This window comes from Homo sapiens, chromosome 8 (genome assembly GCF_000001405.40).
Source record: "Homo sapiens chromosome 8, GRCh38.p14 Primary Assembly".
In the NCBI taxonomy this organism is placed as follows: Eukaryota; Metazoa; Chordata; class Mammalia; order Primates; family Hominidae; genus Homo; species Homo sapiens.
In genome coordinates, this window is record NC_000008.11 from 92,052,083 (window position 1) to 92,074,943 (window position 22,861).

Here is a 22,861-nt window from a genome sequence, read left to right on the forward strand (position 1 = left end):
CCAAGCACAAAAGAGAACAACAGAAGATATGGGAGACATCAGAAATAAATCTTCTCAAGGCATTACCAATGAAACATTTTTTAATTACATTGAATGCTTATTTATGTTGAACAGAGAAAAATAAAAGAAAATCTTTGTATATCCAAACTTCCAAGACTAACTGATATTACTGTGAAATTGAAGTCTACCTAAATATTCTACTCATTTGTTTACAAGTAACTATCAGAACAAACCAACAAACCAGAATTCAAGTCGAAAAGCACCCTCCCTTGATTCTCAGTCAACTTAGCTGTGTGGGCATCTGAATACACTGTCAGAAACCAAGGCATAATTAAACAAATACATAATTTGTAATCTCTCAAGTATTTTTAAAAATACATCATTTAAAATAAATCATATTTCTCTACACAAGTCCACAAAAATAAAAAGAAAAAATAAGATTAAATGAACAATATTGATTTCCATACTTTTAGGACCTAACCTGGCTTATTTATGACCAAAAAGGGGCATTATCTATAGAATATAAAAGGACACAAAAAATATAATTTACAAAAGTGGTTCTCCACTTGAATATGCTTAAGAATCCTCTGAGGGCTTGTTCAAACACACGTTACTGGGTCTACCCACAGAGTTTCTGACTCAGTAGGCTTGGGAGGGGGCAGAGAATTTGTATTTCCAACAAATTCTCTGGTGAGGCAGACACTGTTGGTCCCCTTGACCCCATGTTGAGAACGTGGCTACACCATCCTGTACCATGCTTCCAAAGTGCTTGACTGACCCTGTGAGAGTCTTTAATCTGTTTAGAAAATCAGCAACATTCTTGTATTAGGAAACTCAACAGATGAGCTAAACTGACCTTCCAAGAATTTTTATAATGCATGAATTAAGAGAAATGCTTACAAAGTATCTGCCGAATTAGCAAAGATTATTCTTTTAAGAGATACTGAAACTCAAAAGTCTTACCCTATTCCTTTCAAATGATCCAATGCAAATGTTGAAAAAATGATAAAAGGGCAGAAACATTCAAAGAGAGCAGCAATTAAAATCATTCAAATTTTTAAAGAAAATATATATTATATATAGAATGAATTATTCTAGCAATCGCTCTAGAGTCTTTAAGATAAATTTTACCTGTCTATCAAATTGTTACTTACCTAGGATTATTGATATAAGAAACTATTGGCTAAATTTATCATGTAAAAGATAAAAATATTTCATTAATACTTCTCTTTGCTAAAATCTTACCCAGTATGCCTGATGGGAGACTGAAACATTATACCCATCCTCCACTAGGTGACAAGAATGAAAAATGGCCAAACTACATGAAAATGCCCAGGTGGAGGGAGAGTCCATTTCCAAAATATCACACACACTGTCAAAAGCCCTTTGTTTCTAATTTTAGTAATTATGCCAGAAAGTTTTAAGTGTTGTATGTTGCATTATACTTTCAGTAAGTATAATCAGGATAAATTACATTGAATTTTAACATGCAGCTAGCCACCAATAAAGTTGTGGGCCACAAAATATATGTATTTTCCTTAACTCTGAAAGAAAATTCTCATTCGTAAAGACCACTTACTGAAAATTTTTATAAGATTCATTTCTTAATTTTTCCCCTTGTTAATTAACATGCTTTGTGTATTATTTCTTTCTTTTGAAATCTCTGTGAGTCCCAGTCTACCTCTCATCCACTCACTTATTCATTAAGCAAATATTTGCTGATTGCATACTCTATGCCAGGCTCACAGGTAGCCTGGAATGGAATTATTAGAACTAGAAAATCAAGATCTGAACATAAATGGCAGCTTTATCAAGGGGAGTTGATGATGTTTAAAATGTCTATTTTAAACAGTGAAGAAAAGAAGCTGTATCTTGGGATAACACAGAAGTGGAGTAAAAGGTTATACAGAATTCAGCTCTCCAGCAAAACCACCTACAAAGAAACATGAAAATCAGTAGGGGTGGGGTGGGGAAGAAGTGGGGGACAGACTCAGTGATGTAAATTGATGCCACAAATTAAAAGTGCCACTTATTAGTACCTGGAAAAAAAAAAAAAAAAGACAGGCTTTTCAGGCTCTCACTTAAGCATGTGTTTTATTATGTGATCACCATTCTAAGTTTGGTTATCTGGTTTCCACATTTGCAAATAACTGGGATGTGTAAAAGGGTGGCACACTGATAGAGAAGGGGTAAACCGCTGACATAAAGATGAGGCAGAAAATCCTATCAAGCATAGGCAAAACTCAGAAAATTTCATCTAACCTAGACAATGTGCATCAAGCATAACACTTGGCACTGTTTTGTGGGGGGTTAAACACTGTCTCCTATTTTTTAACTCCAGACAGCATCGCTGTCTATAAAGAGGTTTAATAACCTCTTTATACAGGTACACAGCATATCTACAATCACTATTGCCATCCTGTGAAAGTTAGCAAGGCAGAATAACTGTTTCTACTTTTAAGACAAAGAGAGTGAAACTCTGGCAGACTGTAAATGGAAGAGCACTGATTCACAATCAGGCATTGACATTCTCGATGCTCTGTGTTTTTGATAGATGGCCTCATAAAATATAATATATTAATTGCTCATAATATAAACCCAAGTCACAAAGCTAAAGATAAAATACATTCAGCACAGGGCCAGGCGCGGCGGCTCATGCCTATAATCCCAGCACTTTGGGAGGCGGGCGGATCACGAGATCAGGAGACTGAGACCATCCTGGCCAACATGGTGAAACCCCCTCTCTACTAAAATACAACAACAACAACAAAAATTAGCCGGGCGTGGTGGCGCTTACCTTTAGCCCCAGCTACTAGGGAGGCTGAAGCAGGGGAACTGCTTGAACCCGGGAGATGGAGGTTGCAGTGAGCCAAGATTGCGCCACTGCACTCCAGCCTGGGCGACAGAGTGAGACTCCGTCTCAAAATAAATAAATAAATTAAAAAAATAAAAAAATACACTCAGCACAAACTGATCAGCTTGTGATTAGTAAGTACAACAATTTTAAACAGTGAATGAAAGTAACTATGGCTTAAAGAGATAATCTTGCTCTTGAGAAACACTACAAAATGATTCAATTCTCCAAGATGTTTTGGGAAAAAGTTTATTAACTTCACAATGACATGGTACCAAATGTTTTACACTCAGAAAATATGATCAAAATATAGATAAAGATAAAAAACCAAATGGAAACACACTCCTCTATGTAGTAAGTAGTTAAACAATGTCAACAACAGGTAACTCTTCCTTTTAAAGATGTTCTTTAGAAAGATTCCTAAATTGTACAAAATAGAAAACATTTTGAAAACCTAGTCATGCCTAGGCTTACCAACTTTGGGAGGCACTTCGCGTTTGTATTAATTTATTAATTTTTTTTTGAGACAGGGTTTCACTGTGTTGCTCAGGCTGGAGTGTCATGGGGCGATCATAGCTCACTGCAAACTTGAACTTCTGGATGCAAGCGATCCTCTTGCCTCAGCCTCCAGAGCGGCTAGGACTACAAGCACGTGCCACCACGCCTGGCTTCCACTTTATGTTTAGCAAGCAAACACTGGTATATAAAGAATGCCTGGATAACTAAAAAGTTGGGTTTTGCCTCTGACTTCTATCATTTTCTATATTTTCTAAATCAACTATGTATTTGGAATATTCTAGGAAGTTAGAAGAAAATAAATATTGAATAGAAAGTTTAACAAGTGTTTTCTATAGACAAAAATATTTGTTTTGATTTCCTCTACGTATTTTGTCTGTAGGCTATACAAATATAATGCTAAAGCAAAAAGAAAGAAAATAAATGTTAACAGGCCTTTCAAATGAAGTGTTACTGTAACTGCTAAGTATATAGGTTCAGATACAACCATAACAACTAAGAAACAATGTCCATTTCACAGGGAAAATGTCAGGATCACAGCCTTTCTTCCTTCCAGTCTTATCCTCATTAGGACATATTTAAATTTCAAATGCAGGAGTATATAAATTGTTACCTCAGGACCCTCAAATTTTACTATGTATTTTCCTCCTAATAACCTGAGAATCATTAAAGCAAACAAGTCCTGAGGAAGGTGGTGAAGTTAAATGAGGGAAAGTTCAAACGTAAAATAACGAGACTCTCAAAAGCACAGCAATTGTCTTTTTTAAAGTTAGCACCCCCATCAAAATCATCCCAGATTGTGAAAAATGCTCAGTTTACTTTGTCAAACTCTTTAAGACTCTTGTTAAAGTCATAAACACATGATAAAGACACCCTCCTACATCCCTTCTTCCTAAAAAGCATTTCACCTAGCTGATTATATAGCTCTTAAAGTGAAACTCTTCCCAGTATCATGTTCTCATAGGTACTTTTAAAATTATTTTCTTCCATGAGTGTCAAGTACTCTGTATAATGTTAATAAACCACATAAAATTAAAAGAATCCCTCTAATAAAGTGAGCCAGACTACACTTATCACTTAGCCTTTAAAAGCGAAATGTGGAAAACAAAATCAAGCCTTCTAGAGAAAGCATCCCACAATTTTAAAAATCAACTGCTTTTTTTTTTTTCTTTGCAGGAGGTGGGGGATGGCAAAAAAAGATATCTGCTTTCTTAAGAATGTACTCATCTACTGGAAACACTGTGCCTGCTTGTCTAGGAGCTCCTGGGGGCAGAGCCATGGATACCCACCAGTCTCACCACCAAAAAACGTGCTTTTTTTTAGCTACACAATTTTTAACAATTTTGTCTGCCAAGGTGTTGAATATATTATTTGCTTTCTAATTTTCTACTAATCCAAAACACAGAAAACCATCCATCTGACCTTCCGATTAACAAAAGATAGCCAGGATGACCACATTCCAAAAGCCAAGAAAGGTGATATTTCAGTTAACCTGTATAGCTCTGTCAGGGAGTAAATTTATGATTTCTTTTTTGTTCCTGTATCTTAATGTGCCCTATGATTTCTATTAGGCTTTTCAAAATAATAACATTAAGTCTCCTGATGCCTATTAATTCCATTGTTCTCTTTCAAGAGGAATAGTAATACACAGAGAAATAACCAGCATGCTAACCTGTTTTATCCAAGATCATTCTTGATGATGAAGGCTAATGCTTTTTCTGTTTTTATTTTTCAGCAAAAAGAACTCTACCTTCTATGCTACTATAATTCAGATTCAAACATTCCCCTTTAAATGTTCCATCTAGCCTTCATTACAAAAGATCCTGCCATCAAGCCACAACATACCCAACCCCTCTCAAAAATAAAATAAGGAAACAAAAAGAGAATTCAAAGTCCAGGGAATCCCATCTCTACCATTTAACTTTACCTATGTCCTTGGGCAAACTGCTTAATTTATCTGATCTTCAGGCTTCAAATAGATCACATGGTAACAGAAACAATTTGCAAAGCTGTAGTGAAAATCAGAAAGTATACACAGTGCCTAGCCCACAGCCTGGCATATATAGGCTTTCAATAAAAGGCTGCTCTTAGTATACTATCAGAGATTTATTCCGTTCAGAGACAGCAGTTATATATTCCCTTTGAGATTAAGAGGATTTTCTGATTCCTTTGATTGGAACTCTATGGGTTGAAAAATATAATTAAGCTAGACCTTCTCAGAAAGTACATTTACATTAATATTAATTAATGCAAACAGCTGTTTGAGAAAGCCAGCACGATAAACCTGTTTCTTGGTCAGGTGTGAAATCCTATTGTTCTCAAGTTATGAGTCATTTAAGTTAATGATTTATTCCTCTAGATATGGTTAGCTATCAAAGAACTGCAACTGTACACAAAGAAATAGCTTTCAAGAAATACTACACCCACTGCCACACACAGAAATTAAAATCTAATAAAAACCAAAATGAATGCCCTATCCTTAGTATAAGAAGAACAAACCAAAAAATGCTAAGTTACATGAACTGAGATCCAATCTGCAGCAAGTAGAAGGAGCCAGGCAAGGCATTCCAATAGGCGTTCGTGTAGCCCATTGTGCATCCTTCCCCTATGTCCCTGACTCCTAATCCAGGTGGGTATCTACCCCTCTGGGCTCCTGCATGATCTACTATGTTCAGGCCCTGTTTACTTCTCTGCTGGGAACACTAGAACTCCAAACTTTTGGAGGGCATGGAGGGACTGAATCATGGTTATCTGGTATCTGGCACATTTTGAGCAACCTACAAATGTCTACTACCCAACTTTCCTCATTACAGTAACTTTCTGTTGTCGTAGCCTTACATTTTTGGTTCTGCTTAATACTCTCTTAATTAACTATATATAGGTTCCCTAATTCCCAAACAATTATAAAATAAATTTAATAGGCACACTTTTGCCATAGGCCAAGTGATTATTGTCACAGAATTTTCTCCCAGGTAGCTCTGCAATCCTAGAGTGGGAGGGGAGAAAGCATACGATGAGAGCGATCCAGGACTGAAGATAAAAGACAACAAAGTAAGACTGACACTAATATGCTAACATGATTTAATGTACATTTGAGATTTACAAACAGCACAGTTAAGAAAATGTCCTCAAAAGATCTTCTTACTTTCATAAACTACCTGAACAAGTCCCTTAATCTCTAGGAGCCTCAGTTTCAACATCTGTAAACTGAAGGTGCTCGCAAGATAAACCTTCAAGCTCTAAAATATATATATCTGTTCCCCTGATGGCTCAGAAGGCTTTTCAGAAAATTATAATTACAGCATCTTCTTTGCAAACATCCATTAACAATGTAGTGATAAGATAGTTAATAAACATTTCTAGGCTATATAATGTCTACTAAGCAAATGTTTACTTTAAGAAATAAAAATAAACAAGTAGTTGTCTTATGAAAGCTTAAGATGTCATAACCATCACCCCCTTCAAGAAAAAGATTAAACAATTATCATTTTCAATAGACCATTAACTGCACAGGAAGATGGCCTGTGAAAGTTTCCAAATATCATTTTACATACACAGAACTAAAAGGCCAAGTACTCTGAAATATTAACAGAAAAGAATGTAAAGAGAAGGGAGAGGGTTTCAGGGTTTGAAGGGAAGCTGGACTGTCTACATTTCTGCTACAAAAAAGTAATGCTGCATAATCTACATTTATAATTGGGTATTTACAACTTACATAGTTTTCTTCTATAGTTGGCACAAGGGTTGTTTGATACAGCAAAGAGCCTAATATAATGGCAAACCAACTTGCAAAGTAAAATAGAGTGTCAGTGAATGGACTGCTGTGAGTGTTTTTATTCTTGCATAATAGCATTTAGATGCATCTATTAAAAAAAAATCCAAGTGCATTATCCAAATGTTCAGTTACTAGGGATACTAACAGTTGTCTGTCCATGGCAATTTCATTTCTGTTTTTTTACACAAATCATCGCTTGCAAGCATTGATGTTAAAAACAGAAAAATAGTCTAGTACACAGTGGCTATAAATGCCAAATCAATTTTCAGCAAATAATAAAGTCCATGTTTTACAATCAGCAATGCACTGTTTTACTACCCAAAAATGTAAGCTAATAATATATAGCTCTACTAAATGGAAAATGCAGATATGCTGTTAAAAAATGGGCCGGCTGTGAGAGGATGGATCATTTCTGCAGGGACCTTCTTAAAGCTATGTGTAAGTGTTTTGAAAATATCACATGATGTGGCCATGTGTTAAAAATTACAGCCAGTTAAGTTCTCTGCTAAGGAAAATATGTGGGCAATTTATGAAATGCACTCCAGGATGGAGATGTCTTAAGTAAAACCAGATTTTGAAAACAAACCTTTTTTTTCTCTCTTTTGGAAACTTGAACTTAAAAAAAAGTTCCAGGCACATCTGGAGAGCAGGACCATTGAGAAAGGGTGGTCTGACCTAATACTAGCCATCTTCTAAAAGAAAAAGCACTATTTCTGGGCTACAGGGACTGTGCTCACTTATTGTCCTTTTAAGGAAATAGTCCTGAAAGCATTTTGTAGGTCAACATATGTTCTTTGATAATATTATACAAAGATTCATAAAAATATAAGTGTTTCAGAAAGCTTGGAGTCACTGCCTCCTGAAACAATATAATGCCCAAGGTCTCCCAGCCTTCTCATAAGAAAACATTTTCCTTTTCTTAAACACAAGGATCTAGTTGTTACAAAAGTGACAGGTAGTAAAATGATATTTCTTTATAATGAGTTAAACAATTTTGAAATAATCTATTTCTTTAAAGCATCCTTAGCCTCTTTTGACTTATATAGTTCATTTTGAAACAATATGCTAGCAACATCTTTAAAAACATGTTTTTTAAAACCAAAATAGTTCTAGAACCCCTTAAACTAAGACTTTTTTACTTACCCACCCCCAAAGATTGGGATGTCTGAATAAGATCAGTTTGTGCACATCTGTTTCCAGGGATCCTCAATTTTATAAAAAAAGGCCCTAGATATGGCAATTGTTACATCATGTCTGAGACAACCAGGAATTAGTTCTGATACTTCAACTACCAAATATATATATATATATATATATATATATATATGTGTGTGTGTGTGTGTGTGTGTGTGTGTGTGTATGTTGATATATAGTCATTTAAGCAGTAGATGATATCAGAGTGCATAGAACACAACCTTTTAATCTTCTACACATAATGTCTTACTTAAAAATATAAAACCTGCCCAAGATGGCTAAAATCATCCATTAAAATGAACCTATATATATGGACTAAAATAAGCTAAAAACATATTTAGAGGTAGTCCATCCAATAGTAGAATTTAAAAACTACAGATGGGTGTCAAAAATAGCCAAGTGTCAAATCTGCTCAAGTATCGCCATTCTGGCACATGCTCATAGTCACAGCTGTTAATATATTCTATGTATCCAAGTACAAGGTTTTCTAACACAGTTGATGAGAGAGAGAGAGAGAGAGAGAGAGAGAAGCAGTGCCCACACTTCAGGCTATTGCTGTAGAACCAGATGTATTAACAACAACACTAAAACAAACTTATCAATGACTCTAAATCCCTAAATATAGTTCAATGCTTTTTAAATAAGGGTGCTTTGAAGCTTAGTTTAAAATGATGCAATTAGCTAGAAGTAGCAAGGGTCCTAACTAATCTCGTTCACCTATTATAATTCACAAATGGCTTTGGTTTATTATGGGGTTTTGTTTTACAAAATTAACATATAGACTCTTCAAAATGCTGATAAATCAGATCATTTAACACGTTTATTAACAGCATAAAAAAGATCTGAATTATGACATAAAAATCAGATAAATGTGCTCAATATTCTGGTGAAATAAAAAACACAGGCACTTTCACACTGATTCTGTATTATATACCCAGGGCACATTACATCTTTAGTTGCATGGTGCATATAAATCAAGATGAAAGCTTAAAGAGTTAAAATGACCTTTCAAAGACCTCAGTCATTGTCTTTTTGTAAATTGATTTTCCCCATAATTCAGCTACATACATTCCTAGTCTACTAATGAAAAAGTGCAATTCTGCCACAAATGCATCCTTTCTGCATATATATCAATAATGATTAGGATGGACGAGACACATCCTAAAGGGAAAAACATTCTTCAAACAACTGGCAATACCTACACACAACTGTGGTTGCAGAAAACTGGCAGATAATGTTTCAAAACACCATCTGTGAGGTGTACAAACTCTGTGACCAAGCACAGCCTCTTCTGCCTGTCCTACCCAAATAATCCACATAAATCGGCCAGCTGGAGGATCTCTATCTGCCCTGTCTTTTTTATCTGAAGATAGGAAGCTCCAAATTAGGCACAGGGCAATTTAGACAGTTCTTGAGAACAGCCGAAACAACCCTTTCCCCGGCCAGCCTTCTCCACAAGCAGAGCCTTCACTGGCAACGATCACAGAAACACTCCAGGCTCCAAAAATAATATTTTTCAGAGGAAACTGACATGCACTAAATTTCCAGGACAAGAGCTTCACTAATTCAGCAGGCTTTTTATTTTAATTAACTGATTTCAATTATTTGTCTGATGACATCTAAGGGCTGTGATTTAGGACAAGACTGAAATTCCTTGTAGTTCCAAAGCTTCCTTCACTTTCTCTGACATAAACAGCTTTTTAAAGAGATCTTATTCCAGGATTCTGCCATAATCTGAAAACTCTCTCCACAGATGAAATTTCCAGGACACCAAGTACAGATGATAGTCACAAAATTCTGAACAGAAACAATACTTCTTACTTGAGCTAAAACCCTCAAGTAAATTACTCCGACAAACATCCGTGGCTGTACGACCCCCTCAACCTTTAAAATACATCTCCCAAATTTTAAAAGCAAGGGCTCCACACCCTGTACCCCTCCATGTATCAAGATCTTTGTGGTTCTCTTTATGCTACCTTCCAATCACACCTCTGTCACCCCCAGCCTCTTCCTGCCCACATCAGATACAACACGCTGTGGGGCAGAAGGTATTTTCCATGCATAATAGAAAGTAAGCTTTCTTCATTGGAAAAACAGAGAGAACACAGAACAGGGCTAACTCACCAGGCATCCTTGAATCCAGCGTACCACACAGAAAGTGGCTGTCTCCTAAAAGCAAGCGCGTTCCGGGCTCATGCCTCCTGTTCTGGAATGAGTGGCAGCAGAGAGGAGGGCCATCAGAGGGGCTGGGGCGGCATCGCCGGAGGCAGGGTGCTGGGCGCGTGCGCCTGCCAGGCAGAGACAGATGGAGAGCTGACACTCCGGATTGCACTTGGAGCAGAAATGTGGAGGATGACAGGAGCACATGTGGCCTTGAACCCAGCCCTGTCTCTTTAGGCAGAACAATGACAGGGATGTGTGTGCAAAGTATCACAACCCCTACCCTCCCCTTAGCACTCCACCTCTCTCTGCAAGTTTCAGAGCACCAAAAAGCAAAAAGTGAAATTCAGAATGATAAGCTAAATGCCGAATAATTTATTCACCACCACCCCCATCCTGTTCAAGGTTAACCCTTATTTTGCCAAAAGATAGAAATGTAGACCTGGCCCCCTACCACCCCTCACAATAAAAGGCTTCCCTTCATCTTCTCATTTTCATAGCCATAATTGGGAACTGTATTAAAAAAAAAAAGGTACAGAACTCAAAGCCTGTTTATTCAACTGGAAATCCCAAACAGCCTACAAACATTTTTATAAGACTTTGTATATTGTGCCAGTTTATCATCCTGCACAAAGTATCAGAATCATTCCTTTTGTCAGCTTCTCAGTAGTATGTGTAAAATAGAACACTTTTTAGAAGCTGAGCCGACCACTTTTATTTTACTCGAGTGCTTTTAACCCCCTGGGATCCCCGGGTTGATATGCTCCAAACATTTTCAGCTTACTTTCCTCTACCTTGCATAGAGATCCATGGGAGATAAAAACAAAATCTTCATTGTAAAGCCTTTTCAAAAGCTGAACAATCATGTCCTCCTGATTCCTGATTTCTTTGCACACCCCTAAATGTTTATCCTTCCCATGAATAACACATACCCAGCCAGGTTCAATGGACTCTTCCCTATTAAGCTTTAATGGACACCATGATATATAAAACTAGAAGCCTTTGTTATAGTGCTTTATCTAAAGCTGGCTATTTTCTTCTCAGCAGTCCCTCTTTAGTCCTTTGTAAAACATCCCTGCCTCATAGGAGAAACACACGCCTGCCTGCCTTGCATGCCTCTTCTAAACACACAACAATGCCAGGCAGAAGGAAAATACTGTTCTCTCCTAAAACTCTTTCTCAGTTTTACACTTGCAAATCTTTCCTAGGTCTGTGTTTGTTTCAACAACAGGGCACATGATGAGGTAGCTGCCTCAGGCTTTACCTTTCCATCGTATGCACAATCCACTATCAACACAGAAACAATTCCACTCAGGGTCCTCTGATCAGCCTGCAAGCTCAATGAACATGATAGACAGGAGCATTCCCGTTAACTCTTGCTATTCCTTCAGTCCTCAACATGTCCTTTACTTACTCTACACTTTCCATATGCTTTTAGCCCTTGTCAGATGGATTTCCACACTACTTGCTATCTCCAAAAATTTCTGAAAACAGAGGCAATAACTCTGACTTCTACCTACTCAATCTTCCTACACCTCTTCCCAAGAGTGCACACAACCTGTTTCAAAGCATACCCACACACACTCTCCGCACAAACTAAAAATATATTCTCTTGATAAACAGTGTCAATCAATAAGAACTTCTACAGCCCCTAAATACTGTACCCAAGAAGGGCTGCTTTATCCAGCGAACCCCTCAAAAATCCATCATTGTCAGAGACAACTTGTAAAAAGACCACAATTCATAACGATTACTCTGTTCTGTCACTAATAGTATACTGCACCCTATTTATGAGGCCAATCTTTTTGTTCATCTTAGTTAGATGTCACTTGTAATGAGGTTCTCTGTAATGGATTTCAGTACAGTTAAGCACCAAGCTCAAACATTCTTATGATAGAAAGCTTTATAGCAGGCATGAGTGTGATAATCAATTAAGTCCTGCTATAAGGGCCTTTATGGAATCCAGCATCCTAAATTAGTAGACTTTCATTTTTAAAGAGAGTATTTTTGAAAAGCCACTTAATGCTACATGCCACTGATTTTTTTTTTAGTACTATACTTATGTTAGAAAGAAAACATTTTCACAGTGGGAAACCCAACCTTTCATCAATATGCATGGTGAATCACTTCTAAAATAGAAAATCATATGACAAAATGCAATACACTTTTGAGAAAACTGGATGATATCCGGCTTTAAAATGGGGTCTTAATATCGGTACACTGCAAGTCCCTAAACCGCAGCTCAGACAATTGAACTTCCATATGCTGTGTGATTATGTATCTTTTCTATGTGTAAAAAGGCTTTTTAAGCTGTTATCTGACTACAGTAATTGCCACTTTAAATTGATCCACATCAACAAAACCTGGATCCCTGGAGATTCTCACCTAGAAGTCTGACTGCAGCGGGGCCTAGCTGAATGTGTGTGCATCTGAGACTAGTTCAGCATTTTCTCAAGAAACCAGTTTCCTCCTCTTATTCTTTAATCCATGGAGGCAAGAAAAGCAGAACCCCATTTGGCAGTTCTCCCTGAATAGGGAAACCTGGATATGTAGTTCTACACAGTTACTCAGACAGAATAACTTTTCGTTCATAAAAATAAATAAATAAATAAATAAAAGGAGGATATGGAGCCAAGATCTCTAACATCCAAATTGTATAATAAAAATAGACAATCAATAACATGATGAATGCATTTATGCAAGTGAATGGAGAAAAACAATACATATTGCAAAAGTTTTCTCCAGTACAAAACACTGTCATAAGGAAACATATTTTATAAAACTAAAATATATCCCAATAACAAAGAATACATTACTCACCAATTAAGTACTTCCTCAGGAGAACCTCATCGGTTAATGTATGTCACTGAATTAAGAACACAGTCCATTTTTAAGGCAATTTTTTAGAGAGAGTCATCTAAATCAACACTTTCCAAACCAGTAAGTTTAGTCAACAACAAAATGCTGGGCTCCCACAAAAGCAAATACATAAGTTGTTTTCTGACAACTTTAGATCATTCATTAGAAAGGCATTATGGTATTGTATGATTCCAAGGTATTTTTCACTTATGTCCACCACAAACCTTTCATGAAATACAAATTTTTCCTCTGTTCAAACCTGACTTAGCAACAGGGACCAGCAGTCTACTGACATGGGCTGCAGTTCAGGAAAGCTCTCTACATTGGTGAAGGGAGAATTTGAGTTAAAGCCTTTCCACAGGTCTTCTCAACTTTCCTCTCGGCTTCTAGCAGGCTGTTGTGATACACTGTGACTTCACACAGTGGGTATTAAGTGAGTTAATTCAAAGGAGCTGAAACCTCATTGATCCTAATTGAAAGCAATACACCCAACCAAATACTTTCCTACCCCATCTGCTCTGGCCTGCCACCAACTATTCAATACAAGAGAATTAATAGTTTCAGATATTCTAACCGACCCAATAAAGGCACTCATTTAAGCAGGGCTGCATTAACAAAGTGAAAAAACAAGGGCAAAATGGGTTCAAATGGAGCATTTTACTCCTAGTTGGCTTTAACAAAGCTGAATAAGGCTTATTCTGACTTTTTATGTGCAAGACTTGATAAACTGAATGAGAAGGCACTCAATGATCACCCAACGAGCATTGATGAATGGTCATTAAGACCCCCCTGCTCTTAGAGGAGACCCTTCCACAAAGTGGCACACCAGCTTGAAAGGGCAGACTCACTCATGTCCAGATTTCTCCGCTTGCTTGTCCCACTTTCAATTTCAGACCACTGGCCACCAAATGAGGCTGACATATTGGAAAATAATGTTTTATGGGCGAGTGGTAAAAAATAAAATGGAGGCATTAGCTCTGCTTTCAAATTCAAATCTGCTAGTTTTGTCAGACCCCAAAGGTTTTGATTTTCCACCCAGCTGGAAGCTATTAGTGTTTTCTAAAGGCATCCCACTGATAAGGCAAACCTACCTAATGTGTGAGTTGTTGGGCTAAGGGAGATGGACCTCTCTTTTGGATGATTTCCTAACTTCTCATCACTTTGACAGTCAATTAAATAGATACAACACCTAATAAAAATGTACATTAATTTGTTTCTGCCACTGAAAGCCATCTGAAACTGTATTAAATAAAAGCCATAATAGATTGTCCCCTGACAAAGATAAATCCAATTATACTTTGTCTGCAAAAAAACACAAATGGTTTATGTTTTAGTTAGGCTACAATGTAAGATACAGCTAACCACAAGAAATAAGTGGGATAGAGGGGGAAAGAAAAAACTAAGTGAAAAAGTTCATTGAAGTATTCCATCAAGGTTAAGAGGTTATCTGTCATTTTAGCTCCCTTACATAAATGTCTGTTGTAAACAACTAAACACATTTACGCTATTCCCTCAAATATTTCCTTTGGGGGAAATGATTGGCAAGCATTTGCACCTCCTCAACTTTCAGCCAGCCCGCAGAACTCACAAGAACTTTGCTTAGATGACAAAAGAACAGGAGACATTATTGCCATCTTAAGAATTTGAAGGGTGTATAAACATCATGAGGTTAAAGGTTTATTTAGGGCTGTCCAAGAGAGCCTAAGTGCTAGCAATGAGATGGAGTCAAGTAAAAGAAAACATGCTGGATAGAGGAAACCTATCTTAATAGGTGATTATACAGACATTACAGACGCGGAAAAGCTTTACTGCCTCAATCACATGCAACTAGTCAGACAAAGCACTATAGAACACAGTGGCCCATGGAGGACATGCTGTAGGTCTGTTTAGAAATCCTCATCTACCAGGGCAAGTGGCAGGCTGAGAGCTAGAAGTCACAACCCCTAGCCTTCACCTATGACTTATGTAAAACTCATGGTCTCAGGTCACTTTGATTTTTGCATCTCCATCAGTTAAAGTAAGTTAATAATGGACTCTACGACTGTACTTTGAAGATTCCAATGTTAAAATATTTTAAATAATGACTTCCTAAACTGATAAACCAAATAGTCTCTATGATATTCTTTTTTCCATCTTCAATGTCTACAGAATAAAATATTAGTGATATCATTCTGACAGTTTTTCAAGCAATATATTTGACTTTTAACTCTGGTTGAAGTACAATGTCCTCTTATACATGAATAAAAAGATGTGTATTAGTATATTTAAGTTGTGTGTGCATTTATGTGTATGTGTACAAAAATGAAGTCTGTTTAAGACAAAATATCACACTGAAAGTAAACAAAATCTATATCTGTAATTATTACAAATTGTTTCTGATAGTGCCAATGCCTTTAAAATATGACAATATATTGTAGTTCATTTCCACCAACTTATTTTCAACGTCTAATATTTTAAAATTTTTTGAAATGCTATAACAGCTTTTAACACTTGCACTGATTAAATTTTATGCTATTTAAACACAAATTTTAAACATACTATAATAATACAGTTAAAGGTAGATTCCTACATAGGCACTAGCAAGGGGTTAAATTATGTTAAAATTTTTTAAGTAAAACACTTCCTTATTAATCCACAAGCTGAACACTAGCTATGTTAACTGCTGTTTTTTTTCAAGTAAAAGCATTTCCCATAAAACAATTCCTAAAAACTATACATTTGCAATGTAAATCTGCAAATAAGTTACCATTTACAGTTTTCTCATATTTTGTACAGCTACAAAAATCACTCAGGTAACATGGAAGACATCCTAACTACCCATCTCTTATTCATTTGACAAGGACTGTAACACTATATAGAAAACCTTTGTTTCAATGTCACCACCTCCTCATCTTGACTAATGGCGAGTTAGTTTTGTTAAAACGCAAGGGTGATGGCATATGCTCCAATGAACTTTCCCTCCTCTCAGCAACAGAGACAAAAACCTGCAGCTCTGCTCTGTGCAGGCAGCCATCTGGACAGCTTTCCCTCAAAGCCCAGCCCACACCACACTGCAGGCAAAATCGGAGGGCTCGAGAGCTCTGTGGGGCTATTCATGACATACCAATTTCACATTTTCTGCTTGTACGCTTGCAACAATAAATGCTAATGAGGACTATGAATGACAATTTTAAAGACAATAAAAAGGTCTCCAAATCCCTTGCATATGGAGACACTGTTTTCAAAACTTCACCTTCTGTTACAGAGCTGTGAGAGACTGCAGGAGAAAAAAAGAATAACCTAAGGAAAACAATAAGATGATCAAAGCACAACTGAATCCTTAAGATTTTCAGAGAAAGCAATCTGTGTGAGCCCAGCAAACAACAGATCTTACCACCGCTATGAACAACCCTATGAATACATGAGATACCTTTAATCTCACTACCTTTGCCTTCTGTAGACATGCAGCTTAATAAAAGCAATTCTTGATGAACTTGATTATATTCATTATTTTGGAGCCTGGGAATTCTAAGGATAGTATTTGTCCAAAAATAATTATAGTAATAATCATCATCATCATACTTTGGCATAATATTTAACATTCCAGATATCTTTAAATAAATTCAAATGCAAACTGGTTCTCTTCTGATAATGTCTATTCTTAAAAATAATGCAATTGTGGGTGGTGAAATTATATACAATATTTATTCCCTATTTTTTTATTTTTCTGTATTTCCCAAATCTTCTAAAATGAGCATGTATTATATTTTGAAAAAAAAAAAAGTTACTTTCAATGCATTGAAAGAACTGAACAAATGACACATAAATGTTTTGACCTAGATAGGAATTAAACTATTTTACACAGCAACAAAAATAAAACAAAAGATTTCCCTATAGTTCAGAGAAATTGTCTAAAGAGTGTTCTTTTCATTAACAAGGATTAAAACACTTTCAACAAAATCCACCAGGTGGAGCAAATACACAGCAATAAAAAAAAAAATCCCAGAATTTTTTTCATCATATTTTCTTTCACAGGACTTTCATCTCTAATAAATTCTCCACTTATATCTCTCCACATTGCAAATTATCAAAATCTATGCACACATACTAATCTGCCACGTTTATAAACAATTCAAAGTTACTCAAAAATGAATTTTAGTTACAATGAATTCTATTACAAATGTTCACTCCAAAACTGCTCTATTTGTTCAAATAATACCCAGCATAGTATATTTGCTTTTATATCAATGTAAATTTTTAAATTAATGTTTTACAGTGACCCTACAGGGTTTTACCAGGCAAAAGAGAATTTAATGCTGTATATGTTGAAATACACTCAAGAATGGTTAAAGCCTATAAATCTCAATGCAATTCCCTTACTCTATATGGAAATTTTTACTCTTACTTTCATTTATTAAAATTCTCCTTAACTGCATATACCATAATCTTATTAAAATTATGGATTATTGTACCTTTTTTACCCATTATACCTAAATGTCCTTTTTTCATTCCTATTGATAAATTGACACAAGTCCACAATTAGTTATATGTTTTCCCTTCACTTTCCAGAGTAATTCACTGCCTCCGATTCTCTTCTCTCACAGATTGTTTTTCTTGCATTTCAGTCCACACTTACTGAGCACCCTCAGTGCAAGTCTCCAAACCCAAATTCTTTCATTTCTGACACCACCTGCAAACCACAATTCTCCCCATTCAGTTTTCAGTCTTCCACATTTTTCTCACATTATACACTCTCTGCTGCCAAAGCTTAAAGCTACACATGGTCCTAATGTTACTATTGTTACCTGCATTTAAGAAGACTCCACGTGGACAGAACTACAAAAAAGTTGGAGCTTGAAAGAAACCTGCCAAGAGTTTGTTGGTGGAGGAGAACACTAGTTAGGAATATTGGCTGTGGCTTAAAATATATTTATATGTTTTCTTTTTTCATATTTATACTGATGTTGAAAAGAGAAATACTCTAAAAGAAATGCAGCAGGCTGATACATAAATAAACACGCACATGCCTGAGGATACACATAACACTTATGGCAGAGCTACTTACGCTGTGCATAATAGATCACGATGATGCCAGCTCCATCACAAGGCGCACCAGGCTAATGCAATTATTTAAATTATTATATATGTTTTACTGGAGTGGTAAACAAATATATAAAATATTGACATTACTTCCATGTGATATGCAAAACAAGTTTTTAAAATAATTCCCACCAAAATCTTCCCTGCAAAGCCCAATCTCTATTCTTTGCAAAGGACAGAATCAATTCCTTGGAGCTGTGCTTATGCACTAGGCAAAGGTATATACTGCTCTCTTTACATGCCCATAACTCCTATTAACATTAATGGGAGGCACATATGTGCATCTAAAGGGTAAATGCCCTTCAGTCTGCATGACAGAATCCTAATGAAGTAGTTGGAAAAACCAAATCACTGCACATGTAGTCACACTTTCCCCTGCCTTTGCAGGAAACACCACCACCACCACCTTTGTTTCCCAACCCACAGCAAAGACATTTCATCAGCCCACTGTGTGGACAGATTTCCTCTTGGTAAGATAAAATCCTCTTATATTCATGGGATCTCCCAAATGGCTCCATCTCCAAGCACTTCTCAGAATATTTATCCCATGTTACCCTCAAATTGGCCACACATTACTGTGCAAATATTATTTCTCACCACCTCCAGCTTCGTCAAAGAGTATGGCCCTTCCCACAGCAAATGTCAAAGACCATATTCCAATTCCAAGAAAAGGAAAAAACATTCAAGTGCAAAAGTTCTATCACCTTTTTTTAAAAGTGGACTATTCTATTTTCATGGGCAGATGAAGATTCCAAAACCGCCTCATAAAAGCAATCTCTGAGCTACTAGCTCCACACCAGACTACTAATGAGTCTGACTGGAAAAGAGCAACACACATAGGACACTATATAATGGGAACTCAGAAAATAAGAACCCAACAAACTAAGGCCAGCCCTCTACTGGTTAACGTCTGTTGCTGCTGAAACAGATTGTTTCATAGCAAGGCCAGAAGTGTAAAATAGAGCCAAATTCTTAGATCTTTTTTTTTTTTAATCAAGCATGTCTGTCAGTGTGGTCCACAAGGGGAGAGCAGGGGACACAGCATTGGCAGGAACCTCAAATTCCTGACCAAACCCTCTTCCACACAATGCCTCCCGAAAGAAAGGAACCCAGGGTTTGAGCCAGCCTGACGCTGGCGGACAGACAGGGCTGGCCTTGCAGGATGTCAGAGCGCCAGGCGGCTGTGAGAGATACTGGGTTTTCACACACTCCCAGCCTGACTGTTTTGCTCTTCAGGTAATTAAACAAGGAAGCAGGGCTGCTGGGTATGAGCCTGACCCCGAAGCTGCGGCTCCATGGTTCTGCATATCAACTTCCGCAAGAACTGCCCGGAGCATCAACAGAACATTCTCCTCTCACTCTCTCTCATTTCCTTCTCCACCTCTTCCTAAAGCTGACCCAGAAACAAGTCCTGCCTATAAAAACATCCAGAGAAAGGTCTGATTTTATTTGTCATAAAAATCTCTATGCTATTCCCAGTCATTACCCTCCAAATTTTAAAAAACAAAAAAGTACCTTAATGGCAGAAACTTCATAAAAATTCATATACAGCAAATCTGTGTAAAACGCTGGTATCTTAATCAAGATGGATCAAAGAAAATTGTACTCAAATAATTATAATTTTTAACATGCTTGATTAAAGTGTAAATCTTCAAATTCAAAGAAGGCTCACCAAGAAATAAATGATTTTGATAGTCCAGTTTACAAATTAAACATTTGTTGTGTTACATAATTAACATTGTTATTTTAAATTTTGATAGTGGTAATTAATGTAAGCAAATACCATCTATGATCTGGTTTATTATGTTTCACCAAAAATTTTATTTAAACAAAACTCTAAAATATTTTGTGTGTGCAAAGTCACCAAACTCAGGAATATCAAACATATCCTTTAAAAGATAAGAAAGTGGTATATTTATATACATATATATAATTAAACAATGATTAGAATCATATAAATGATATACTCTTCTTTCATCTCAAAATCCATACAGTAAAATATTGGCTGAAAGAGACAGAGACCAAAAGAGAGAAGAATACAAAAGCATGCCTGCTTGTCTGTGTTCAACACAAAGAACATTAAATGAAAACAACTGGCATGCTGCCAAATTCCTATAGAGGCAAAGAGATTCAAATAAATTGATTTCACGCATCACACTGACCTGGGATCAGTGTGCAGTGCTACAATAAGCTCAAAGCTCCATGTGGGGTAAAGCCCATTAATGCTATCAGACCCCTCAAACATGACCAAGAAAAACTAAAAATAAGAGCAGATACTCTCTAAAAGCAGCAATTTTACTTAATAAAATAACTTTCCTCTTCCTAACAAAGATACCAATATATAAAGGTGCACAGCATCATCTATATCAGCATTTTAAAAATACCTCTTTTTCAAAATACAAATGTGGCTTTTGAAACCCACACAATATGTAAAAATTGATACTACCTATATATCCCATTCCATGATATGCATGAACATAAACAGGCACTCTTTGCAAAAAAAGTTTCCTGTCATTCTTTCCTCCCAAGCTGCTTCCTCTTACATCTTTTAGAAAACATATGGATCTTTTTAATATGTCAAATACTACACCCTTCTTAGAATTGTCCTCAATGGCTTATGATAGCAAGCTCCTCAGGCCAGACTACCACTCCTAGGTGTCCCAAATCTGTCTGGTCCCTACAATGGCAGGCATTACAGGAGAACGGCTCCAAATGGCATTCTAGAGGACCAAGCACTGTGTGTACCTTGGGTATGCTTTAAAACACCAGGTGGGAAACACAACAGCGTTCTCATTTTACCAGCTTCCACCCAAGCTGGTGGCATACCCCTTTAGTATCATTTCCCACCCTCCTGCCCCCCAGCCTCTGCCCTAACAGAGGCCCATCTCCAGGAGACCCCAGCCTGCTTCAAACTTGCTACGCAGACCAGACTCTCTGGCGCCACCTCAGGCCATTCTCACTCACAATGCCGACTGTTCAGCCATGGATAGTCCTTTGCTTTATCTGCTTCTAAATTACAACTCCAAAACTCTAAGAGCCCAATGGATTCCAGGTGTTCTAAAATGTAAAGTATGTGATTTCTGTTTTCCCAACTTCTTGAGTTTGAACCCCATATTTCTATACACCTAATATTATTACAAAGAGGAAAAAAAAATTAGGAGTAATTATTATTGTTAGTATATTTTTTCATTTATTTAAAAACAGGGCCTTGCTGTTGCCCAGGCAGGAGTAAAACGGTGCAATCATCGCTCACTGCAGCCACGAATTCCTGGGCTCGAGCAATCCTCCCACTTTAGCCTCCCAAGTAGCTGGGACTACAGGCATGTGCCATCACACTCGCCTGAATTTTTAATTTTTTTGTAGAGATGGGGTCTCACTTTGTTGCCCAGACTGGTCTAGAACTCCTGAGTTCAAGCAATCCTCCTGCCTCAGCCCCTCAAAGTGCTGGGATTATAGGTATGAGCCACCATGCCTGGCCTAGAAGTAAATTTTTAATGCCACATGGAAAACAAAGAAAACCCAACAGTTACAAAATAGGTCAATACAAATATGTATATGTGTATACAGACATCATGTTTAAAGTATGTACACACACCACACATACAGGAGAGTAGGAGAGACAGAGAAGAAAAAAAGAAGAAATTGCACATTGTGTTTCTGATACATGATGCTGGGGGTTCCGTACATGAATAACAAATAAATGCATTCCAAATTATATTAAGATATGTGTTCTTGTCATGCATTTTTGCTTTCAATATAGATCTTCCATGCTGCAATGGTTCATTGCCAGCAGGCCACAGATATATTCCACATGACCAGAAAGGAATAGATTGTGATGGAATGCGAGTGGGTAAAGATAGTAACTCTATGTATCTGCAATATGTTCAAGCTTTAAAGTCCAATATCCTTTTTGATTTTTAATCTGCATCTTAGATATCTTTATCATATTAATACAAACTCCACGCAGATACATAAGGCAGAAACCAAGGAGTTCCACAGACACATTAAGCCCAAGCTTAATGTGGAAGCCCAAACTGGTGGAAGATGACAAGAAAACAATTCTAAAGCGGGATGGTTATTATTATTAGATTTTTCCTTTAAGATATTGATACCTTTTCTTTTTCTCTATGCAAGACTTTAGCAGGCTAATCAACCAAGATCTGAGTTCTCAAAAAACCAATGTTTAGTAACAACAGTGCATAAGGTTAAGAAAAGAGAAGTAGTCATGGGAGATGTCTCAACTGCTTAAACAATTGAACTCCTTGCCTTCTCTTTTGAATTGATGTCTCTCATTAATTGTATTAAAAGAACATCATCACAGTATGAAGAAGGAGGAATGAAAAGAAGGGAAATACAGACACAGAAACCAAATCATGATTAAGGCTTCCCCAAAGGAGTGTATCATCCTACAGGGAATTATTTCA

General features: G+C 36.8%; 1 protein-coding gene across 23 annotated transcripts in view, besides 2 other annotated features; it reads right to left on the reverse strand.

Moving 5' to 3' along the window:
* Positions 1–22,861, reverse strand: part of RUNX1T1 (RUNX1 partner transcriptional co-repressor 1) — a 148,419-nt gene that overhangs the window by 97,116 nt on the left and 28,442 nt on the right. For 2 of the 23 annotated variants that reach the window (NM_001198632.2, XM_047422375.1), the window contains one exon: positions 10,464–10,627. The exons of 19 other annotated variants lie outside the window; for them this stretch is intronic. In NM_001198632.2, the coding sequence (NP_001185561.1) occupies positions 10,464–10,470 (7 nt within the window). In that variant the 5' untranslated portion in view covers positions 10,471–10,627. Of the gene's footprint in view, positions 1–10,463; positions 10,628–22,861 lie in introns of those variants that run through there. 2 more of the 23 variants (NM_001198625.2, NM_004349.4) reach the window with 2 other exon arrangements.
* Positions 6,387–9,085: an enhancer, noted in NCBI's record as "VISTA enhancer hs1599". NCBI's record gives its function as "enhancer in: forebrain[5/7] | limb[3/7] | branchial arch[5/7] | facial mesenchyme[5/7]" and the evidence as "EXISTENCE:transgenic organism evidence [ECO:0001131][PMID:17130149]".
* Positions 19,621–20,120: an enhancer, noted in NCBI's record as "H3K4me1 hESC enhancer chr8:93083931-93084430 (GRCh37/hg19 assembly coordinates)". NCBI's record gives its function as "activates a minimal SCP1, AML or CMV promoter by ChIP-STARR-seq in primed H9 embryonic stem cells {active_cell/tissue: H9 hESC(primed)}" and the evidence as "EXISTENCE:reporter gene assay evidence [ECO:0000049][PMID:30033119]".